This window comes from Homo sapiens, chromosome 6, assembly GCF_000001405.40.
Source record: "Homo sapiens chromosome 6, GRCh38.p14 Primary Assembly".
In the NCBI taxonomy this organism is placed as follows: Eukaryota; Metazoa; Chordata; class Mammalia; order Primates; family Hominidae; genus Homo; species Homo sapiens.
In genome coordinates, this window is record NC_000006.12 from 10,386,377 (window position 1) to 10,396,671 (window position 10,295).

General features: G+C 44.4%; 1 long non-coding RNA gene across 1 annotated transcript, besides 1 other annotated feature; it reads right to left on the minus strand.

Moving 5' to 3' along the window:
* Positions 4,037-4,641: an enhancer, noted in NCBI's record as "H3K4me1 hESC enhancer chr6:10390646-10391250 (GRCh37/hg19 assembly coordinates)". NCBI's record gives its function as "activates a minimal SCP1, AML or CMV promoter by ChIP-STARR-seq in naive H9 embryonic stem cells {active_cell/tissue: H9 hESC(naive)}" and the evidence as "EXISTENCE:reporter gene assay evidence [ECO:0000049][PMID:30033119]".
* LOC124901485 (uncharacterized) lies at positions 6,805-10,292 on the minus strand. The gene is made up of 2 exons (XR_007059911.1): positions 9,280-10,292; positions 6,805-7,185 (listed from the first exon to the last, which is right to left on the minus strand). It is a non-coding gene; the product is annotated as an uncharacterized LOC124901485 (long non-coding RNA).

A 10,295-nucleotide genomic window follows, 5' to 3' on the forward strand; every position in this document is an offset into this window, starting at 1 on the left:
TTTAGTATTTGCATAACCACGAGAAGAAGGTGGCTTTGCAGACTCAATGAATAGGTCTCTTGTTTGTTGTGTGTGTGTTGTGGGGTTGGATTTTTAAATACATGTGGGGAGGAGGAGGGCATCTCTAGGGCTATGCTGCTGCCCCAGGAGTCAGAAACTGAGAAGCTGCTTCTGGGCTGATGACAGTATTGTTTCCTTACTCCTCCAAGTTCTCTCTCCCTTCCCTCATATCTACCCCTGGAATCCTCTACATTGGAAAATTCACTCATTGGATCTTTCTTTTGTTTGTTCTAGGCAGCTCTGCATGTAAAGACAAACTGCTGTAGTAAACCGTTTGAAATAATTCCGTGGCAAGGAGAGATGGCAATGCTGTTTTACACTTTGCACATAGAAAAAGGGACAAGCAGATTTTCAGGGCAGCCTTCAGAAATAGAGCCAGTTTTAATAGGATCCCAACCCGTGCACTAATTAAATATTTCACAGCTCCCAAAGTTAATGTGTTAACATTGGAACTTTTTTTCCACCAAATCATACAAATTGGCCCTCTGTAACATCATCCTCCCACCCCAACTACTCCCTCCTGTACTCACCCACACACATACGCACTCTGTGCCACAAACTCCTACCAACCGACCTGTTTTCTGAATGGCATTACAAAGAATTTTGTTAAAGAAAAGTCAGACTAATTGCTGCCAGAAGACCCGTCTCTTAGAGAAGTCTGGTTTTCATAAGCCAGATTCAGTAAAGGTTGTGGTTAAATCTAAGCCGAGTAGAAGGTTCTTAAAGTTTTCTCAGCAAAGAGGGAAAAACAAAGAAACAGTAAGTTCAGCCAAAATGCTCAGTAAGGGGAGGAGGGGAGATGATGGGTAGGAGGGAAATTCAAGAGGGCTCTCTCAACTCTTGTTTCTAGATTCCTCTCCTTAGAAGAGCTTTCTTCAAACTTAGTAACACCAATTGAGATGGTTTTCCTAAGTAGCCCAGCATCGCAGTCACAGGCCAGTGACTTGATTCTCTTGAAATGGCACTAATTTCCAAGGGCTGGGAGTTATACTAGAGGGTATAGCAAGGGATTTTCCAGTCCCAGGATTCCCCGAGGCACCTCCCTGTTCAGTTAGCACCAGCCTTCCTTTCAAATCTCCTGATCAAGTTAGTTGCAAAAAGTCCCTGCAGGAACAGGCAGGTGGATTCTCCCCACTTCTAAGCTATGTCACTGAGGAACACAGGCTTTCCCAGAGCGTGTCAGGGACTGCCACTCCAGCCTTCCCTCCCAGCTCTCCCCCTGGCTTTACCTGAGCTAAACTAGCAAGATGCTGCAGAACCTTATAGAGCGCAGAGACGGAAAGCAGTGGTGGAGGTGAGGTTTGGAGAGACCTTCATCTCTTTGAGTGTTTGAAAAGAAAAATCCCTCCAAGAATGGTCTCATTTAATAATGAGGCTGGTTTAATTTTCGAAGTTTCTCATCAGAACTTTAACCTATGGTTTAATAGGTGCAGTCCCATGACTGGTTAGAGATTCCCTATAACTCATTATCTCCTAATAATGGGTCTCCCCCAAGCCCACCTTGTTCTCATGGATCCAAGAAGCTGGAACCATCTGATCATGTCTCATGTTGCAAGAAGAGAAACCCACTCAGTGTCCCAGTCTCTGAACTTCATGGGAATCTCCAAGATCATTCTGACTTGAAGCAACATCCTCAAGGTTAAGACTCAACACGCCCATGCTCCCTGATATTCCATGGAAATAGTTACCCTTTTTGGAACCATTATCTTGGGTGCTTCCATTCAACTGGCTATGGAGTATGGGGGTAGGAAACAGAATATGCAACAACTACATTATATTGAGTATAGTCTCCCCCAGCGGAGGGTTCTCATAGCCCTTGCCATTCTGGTGGTTAGTATTTAACTTATTTTTTCCTTTGAAGATTACTGCTTCCTTCTGAATCCATTGCCCACTCCCACCCTCACCCCCAGGTAACTATAGGGATGTGGAAATGAGGGCTGGAGGAGGTCTTGGTGTTACTGAGTCTTTCTTTTATTCTGTAATTACAAAAAGATCATAATATAAGCAAATGAATAAAAATTTAAAAATCACTCTTTCTCTTGGCAATTCTTGTGGTTGGGGTTTTGAAGGATGTTATCCATCCTTTACTGTTTTATAACCATAATGAAGTGATTTCTCGTTCTTAAGACATGAAGCTACTGAGCTGTGAAATGTACCCCATTTTCCAGTTTTCAGGATGAGTCAGGACAGCCTTTGCTCCAAAGTCCTATCACTTCTCATCCCACAGCCTGAACACTTTAGAGAACTTAAGGCAGCATGTTGCCAACCACATCTTAAAACTGTGATCATGGAGGTTTGACTTGAACACCTGGGCATCAATGTCAGCAGTGAATTTGGCTCATCCATTTAGTTAATCCGGGAGACTGCAATGATTTCATCTGAATCTGAAAGTGGACCAAGGCCGGTAGGGTTGGCACTGAAGGGTCCATTTGAGCAGGAAACAACTGATCACTTTCAAGCCCTTCACAGTCTTCCTTAGCCTGGACATCTGAGGAGGGAGGGGAATCATTAAGAAGCTACCTGGAGCTTTATGCCGTAAAGGCCCACTATGCTCTAGGACTGTAGAACAAGGAACCATGTCCATTTACATTGCCTTCCTCCCCTTGATCATCATGGGAAAAAAAATGCTGCAGAAGAAAGTACCTAAGTCACTTAAATCAGTCTCAATATGGAGCGTTTGTGGATTTGAAGAAAACTGTATATTACCCTGACGTTCTCATTTTATAAACAAGCAGCAAGGCTGTGTTCTCATAATGGAACTACAATCTCTTCTGTTTGTGTGTTATTTGCATAATAATTGCTACACAAAATCAAACCTCACGCCCAGTCTTTTGCATTTGACTTTTTTCTCCAGCGTCAAAAATATTTCCTATGTGCTTCTAAGATCTTTTTGAGAATCCATCTTTTCACTATCATTCCTCCTTTCTTTTTCTCCTAATCAATTAAAAGCTTTTTCTCCTGAAGCTAGGAATTCAGCCAAAATATCAAATCAGGAGTGCGTGAGACTTCCACATTAACCGAGGCAGAAATCTTCAGATCCAACTTTTATTTACGCCTGTCGCCAGCAAGAAAAGAGAGATTGGATATGTACGTGGAAATCAGCGCTGGGAATTTTTTGTCATAGCATTTTGAGTCAGAAACCACCAATAATATCCTCTAGACAGGACCCTTCTGGGTGCTAGGCCCATTTCACAGAGCTTGTTTCTGCCTGTCTTTTTATCCCACTGGACTGCCCAAACACTCCACATAAGCAGTCGATTTCTGTGGTTTCAAAGAAAAAAAAAAAAAAGATGAAACATGTCTTCTCTTTGAGGGTGACCTTTGACCTTTCTTTCCAATACACCTGACACAAAGGGCTTAGAAAAGACCCGTTTCGGGTGCGGGGTGCTGATGCTGCTTTTTTGTTGTTCGTTTGCGCTCGCGCTCGCTCTCGCTCTCTCTCTGCATCCCCCTCACCCCCTTTCTCGGAGACTGAACTAAGTGAAAAGTTGTTTCAATAATCGCAGCTCTCTGCTCCGCCAGGGCCGAGGGAGGCGGGCGGAACACGGAGGGTGTTTTGTTAAATGCTCCCGTCGTTCGCAGGGGCTGGGACTTGATAAAAGGAGACAGTTTTCTGAAAAGATTTGATTGAAATGGCGTGTGCCAGGGCTGATGGGAGCCAGCGAGGGACAAAGCGCCGAGAATCCATGGACACTCGAGCAATTATGCCTCCACGCTGAAGGTGGATTAGCGCGCTGGAAAGAAGCATATGTTTGGCCCGGGGCGACACTTCCCCCCGGCTGAGCTTAGAGAATGGGAGCGCGGAGAGCGGCTGGACCCGGAATATCAACTATCTGCGAAGCCCCCCCTTCTAGCCCAACTCCGCCAGCCTCCCCGCCCCCGCCGGGGAAAAGTCGGAGTGCATTTTTACAAAGATGAGAGGAGAAGAGAGGGCTAGGGGAGGAGCGGGCAGGGAGGGGAGTAGGTGCCTAGAGGTGCAAATGGCCCTGGGATCCCCCAGGAGCGGCCCTCCAGGCTCTCCTCTCTGGCGATCCCGAGGGCGCGTCCGTCCTTGGGTGTGGAAACCCAGAGGGGGTCAAATAAATGCTCCCCTATGGAATTTCCCACTGCTAAGGTAGTTCGGTCCAGGATGCCCGCTCAACGCGTATTGGAAGGTCAGCCGAATTGTTGCAATGAAACAAGGTTTTAATGACTAAAGATGCAAGTGCCTAAAAGGTTGCGTTGGGCAGGAGGCGCTTGGAGGGCAGCGCGGGTTCCCAGCCATTCCTTGGGTCCAGGTCGAGGAAGGCCTCGGGAGACGAGTCCCACAGTGAGATATTTGATGAAATGGGTCGGGGCTGGAAAGCTCGGACAGGCCGCATGGGAGAGAAAGGGTGCGGGTGCGGCAGTCGGATCCCCACGCAGCTCTATCTGCTTAGACACCCGGGCGAGGGATGCTTTGGGAGTTTGGAGCCAGAAAGTTTCCCAGACCCTGCCTCCAGTCATTAATTAAAGCGCCCTTCCCGTGGAAAAAAAAAAGGCCCTTAAAACTCTGACCTGGAGCCTCCCGGCTCTTCCTCACTGCACCCGCAAGCGCGCTAAGGGAGACGGGAGGCACAAGCAAGTCCCAAACCTTTCTCTGGGTTTTACTGCAGTTTAATTGGGTCTATCCTGGACGCGAGTGCCGGTGGCCGCTGCCCAGGCCGTCCACATTTCCCTCCCTGGCTGTCCTTCGAGCCCCTACCAGTCCTTCCTCTCCCTGCCGCCCAAGCCCAGGCAAGACTCGAACCGCCCGTCCCACACAATCTCTACCATCCCCCCACCCCCACGCCCAACGCCAGACAGTCCAAATCAAGTAGCGAATAGCTCCTAATACAAAGGGGTGCATGGCAGGATATTTTCGGGGAATTCAAATAGGGCAGCGCCCTGCCAGCGGGTGGGGTCCTGGGTGGGGCAGGTGGGACCCAGTGAGGGGGTGCGCACCGCGCTGCCTCCTCCCAGGCAGGGGTCCAGGAGACCAGAGCTGAGCTCTGGCGCTGGGGACTGACTCCATGCTGTGGACAAAGGCGCAACCCAGACTTGGGGACTCCAAAAAGACAGGGGGGAATCCTGAAATAGGATATGGTAGCTGACAAAGCAAAAGGAAATTTGATCCTAGCGTTAACTCGGTGCCCCAGGGGGAAAAATTATCTTAAGGTATATTAGCTAAATTTAGTTTGATCAAACACACACATACACACACACACCCCACAAGTGTGTGTATATCCATATCCTGAGGATAAGCTGGATTTTAAAACGGTGATGAGACCAACTCTAGAGAGAGTTTGGAGAGATTTGTTCCCAGTCCAAAAACAAAAAAGAAAAAAACAAAACAAAAACCCGGAAGGCCTGGGCTTTTTGACTTGTAAAACTTGAGAGTCATGATAGACACGCCAAGATCGATTGCTCATACAGGGGCTGTGGACCACCTTCAGTTGAGGGCGTGTGTTTAGGTTTGTTACTGGAATTTAAAGGACGCGATCTTTATTGCCATAGAAAAATCACGTGCAGCAAAAGCATAGCATGGGTTGGGTCACTTTTTAAAGCTCCCGCCCTGCTGATGAAAATATTCCCGCCCCCTTAAATGGGCGTTAAAGGAAAGTCAAAGGAAGACTAGGAAGTTTCCTCAAAGTCCTAGAGACCCTTTTTTTTTTTTTTTTTTGGTGAGAGAGAGAAAAAGGGCGATCTGTTGCAAGTGTCTAATGTGGGGAGGTCATCTCCCTGGGCCACTGCTTCTCTACACACTTCTCCAGCAATATATTAAGTGTTGCTCTTTTGTTAAGAAAGAAACATCTCTGTGAAAACTGAAGTTTGTTCTGCGCTATCCTTTTCGGGCATCAAAGATGAAAAAGAAATAAAATTTTACACATGAATCACACTTAAAGTTTCGTTTTAGGCCTCCCAAATTCAGCCTGAAATCACTTTTCTTTCCTCCTTTCCTTATTTTTTTAAACACAGGAACTTTCCATATACATGAATTATCTAGTTTTCCATCCCAACATTCTCTCTTTCCACTCTCATGCCTTCCATGGGAAACATCAGTTACTTCTTTGAGGGTAAGACTCGGTGCATAATGTGATTGTGAATATTTCTCATCTGTGTCCACACAGGCAAAGATGAGTTTGGGCTACTGGTTTTGCAGAAAGAAGTCAATGTCTTGTTCAATCAAACAAGGGCTCACTATGAATAAATACTTCACCTCAGACAAGTTCATCCTTGCCTTCAGAAAAACCGTTGACCAAATTCTGATCATTAATGGGATCATCAGTTTGAACTCATGGCTAACCTGGCAAATAATGTTTTTAAAGACATTGAAAGAAGGAATCCATAACAGGGTCAAACTTTTTCAGTTTCCCACCTAAGGTGGGTCACAGGGAGGACCGTATCATTAAGAGTAGTAATAGGCCAGGCACAGTGGCTCACGCCTGTAATCCCAGCACTTTGGGAGGCCGAGGTGGGTGGATCACCAGGTCAGTAGTTCCAGACCAGCCTGGCCAACATGGTGAAACCCATCTCTACTAAGAATACAAAAAGTAGCCAGGCATAGTGGTGTGTGCCTGTAATCCCAGCTACTCAGGAGGCCGAGGCAGGAGAATTGCTTGAACCCGGGAGGCAGAGGTTGCAGTGAGCCGAGATCGCACCACTGCACTCCAGCCTAGGTGACAGAGCCAGGCTCCGTCAGTTGGGGTGGGGAGGGGGAGTAGTAATAATAATAGGAAGCTGAGATGGCATACCTGTGCAACTCAGGTAGTAAACCAAGTTTAATATAGAAAAGAATCGTTCACTGAAATTCACAAGGAAAAATATCCCGGAGCATCCTAAAAGGGGATGCAGAGGTGTGAAAACTGATATTACCTGTTGTGCTCCATGGTTTCATTCTTCTGGGATGGGGTGGTTGGGTGATGTTAGGAGTTGAATTGGGCTTTTCTGAGGTATGCGTGGGTTTTATTTTTTTCTTCTCTGCTTGACTTTAAGATTTCTTTCACCCATAGCACTAAGCACTACGGAAACATGGATGTGTTTCTTCAAATGCACAACTTGGATAATCAAGTAAATTATAAAGCAAATTTCAGTACTCTTGCCTCAGAACCGCTGCCATCTCTGCACCTGTAATGTAGACAGTGAAAACGCTGGTTATTTATTTTGTACTTTCTGCCTCTCAGATCTCTTGTGAGTTGACCCGATTTTTACAGCCCTTTTACCCAAGCAATGAGGATTCTTCCCCACTCTACTTCCCTCCACCCCTCAACCCTATAACTGAGTGGCTTAGGAGATCTGTAACTGGGATGAAGCAGCTGTTGGCTTCACGCCGTCCTCTAACTTGATTATTCTTTGGACACGTTAGGCAAGCATTAGTGATTGATAATGACGCTAATTAACCCCTTTCCTTTCCAAACAGTAAACTGCTGCCAGCAGGATGCTACAAACAATAAATATAAAACACTGCATACATCAATATCTGTTTAAAGCACAACTTCATTTGGGCACATTTAACTGTACTGCTTTCAGTTAACAATTGGGTATTTATTCAAGTACTTCTCCAAAAGCCAAAGGGGGAAGCAGAGGAAGAGAGAGGGTTAAGAAAAGGAGCCTGTGGCTTTAAGACCACAAAATGCTGTCATACCTGTCAGCTGCAGCAAAGTTAAGCTCTCATGGAAACCATGCATAATTTTTTTTATTTCAAGTCTATACTTTTAAAAAACTTAATTAATCCAGCTTTGTTCTTAACCTATTTAAACTTAACGCAAGGCTGATGACCACAGATGATTTTTTTCTTTGTGGGAGAAAGTAGCTCTCCTGCCTGACATGGAATTATTGTGAATTTACTTTTGGCTGACAAAAGGAATGGGGAGACATCATCTCTTTCAGAGGGTGGTAAAATGTATATGTTAAGCAGGATTTGGGGAAACCAGGGCAAATTTGATCTGACTGTGCAGTCTAACATAACCTGAGTTGTAAAGAAATGTACATTAAATTTGGAATTTTGATAAATGAATATTCCTAGCAAGTGAATAAAATGTATTCAATTAACTAAAACCCTGTGCACTTCTGAACTGAAGTGGAATCGACTGTAATTGATTTATTTGAAACCAGAGGTTAAGGACTGAATTAGCTAAGTACAACTGGGTATTTCAAGCCACTGACTTCTCAAATGTCAAATCCCTTCTATTTTAAATATTATTTCAGCTGCGGGGCATTGCAGTCCTGATGGTAGTTCCATCAAGAACGCAAATTGTATTAATATTCGATTTTGGGGAGGAATGGATGGGATTGTAATTTTTAAAGGGTGTTAGAGAATAGAGGGGGTAATGATGACTACCAAACTCGAAGGAGCATTGTGTTTCCATAAAAATTGGGTGTGGTAATTAGCATAGCCTGGCAAGCATCCTTATAATTCAACTATGTATCCTAATTTAGTTTAGTCAAAAAAAATCACTGTTGTTAGTTTACAAACACCTGTCCTGTCAACTAATCACCATGTGTTTTAGAAAGTATACATTGGTCACCACAGAGAAAGCCAAAATCCACCGAGCCTTTGGTTAGCCCAATAAAAGTTATTTTTAATATAACCTCTCTAATCCTCCCATTTCTTAAAAATATATGTAACTTTTTAAAAATTTTGTTTAAAAAAAAAAGGGTGACAATATCATGATCTTCAAAATGTCCACCTACCGAATAAAAATAACTAATTCTCTGCATTTGGAAACCATTGTTTATTATGACCTTGTAATGTTCTAACCCACTATTTCCTTTCTGTCTTTCTCAGGATGCAAGGATTATATTGGGTTCAGGTTTTCCAACATAACAAGCATCTGTAAATCCAGATATGAATGAATGGTATTTAATAAGATTGTTTTCGTTTTAAAATGAGTATTTATGTGTCATTGGAGGCAGAGCAGCAATGTATGGCTGTTTATGAATGCTATTGTGCCTGAGGTTAGGATCCCCCACACAATCTGAGATGCAGCCAAGAAAAACAGCCCTGATAGACAATGCTTCACTTCACCTGCTACAATGCTGTGTGCATTTCATTTCTGTCAAGAGTATGTACAGTTAGGGTTCATTCGCCTCATTATTTTGTTACATCTACGTTACAGTTAACCAGTCTCTCTAGGAAATAATAAATAACCGCTTTAAAAAACAATTGCCGCGTTGCGTTCTGAGAATACACTTTCCATTTGAATTCTTTTTTAAACCCACCATTGTTATGAATTCTCTGGCTTCGGAAAATAGAATTCAGACTCCACCAACTCGCGTTCGTTTGTCGAGATTGATTTTACACTGCCTTCCATAAGGAGATTAGAAAGCAAAAGGCTGCAAAATGGACACTCTCTAATGCTTTGCTTCCTTGGTCCTTCGGAATGTCAGAGCGCAGGAACAAATGTGAAATCCTACCAGTCTGTCTACCTAGACACTTGTTCTGTGGCCTTTCCTCTCAACCTTCCAGTTAACCACCTCCTTTTGCTTGTTAAAAATCCTCTTCACTTCCAAAGCAAAGAATTTCCAAATCAGTTTACAAAAGCTCTGGATTCGCCATCTTTATGCACAGGAAGTCCTTCCTTCTCTCAGAGCTCAGCACACAGTCCTCTTATTGTAGAAGACAGATAGGAGAGGTCTGGAGAGGCAGGCTTCACAGCCCTCCCCCATCCTCCCCACCCCACCTCAGAGAACGTTTTGTATTTCTAAAAGGTTCTAAGAGGAGCCCTGTGGTGATAGGAAGGGGTGGGCTGGCATTTAGGGGCAAGCAGGAAAGATTCCAGGGATCAACATCATTTCCCACTCCCCTCTCTACCTCGAGAGCTACTGAAGAACAGCACAGTAGTAAATTCATCTCTAAATAAAATATGAAAATAAATGGGAGACAATTTGCCCTCTCTTTCCCTGCTACATGTATATTTCTGCCACTATTCCTTTTCTCCCGCCAGAAATCTAGAGCTGGTCTGAGCTCATTTGCCCGTCTTAGCCGCTGACTACCCTGAGCAAGCAAGTGAAGGTTGAAGTCGGTATTTCCTTTGTGCTAATGAACTAACAATTTAAATCTCAGTTATCCTCTGAGACAAATTCCAAAGCAGTTATGGGGGGCGGGGGGGGGGGCTGTTAGGCGGGGGGCCTGCTGGTGGGAAGTTTCTTCTGTTCTTCTCCATCTTCCTTGTCATCCTTAACATTTGGTCCTGGAGATTTTATATTTTGGTTTCCAAAACACAAATGAAAACCTA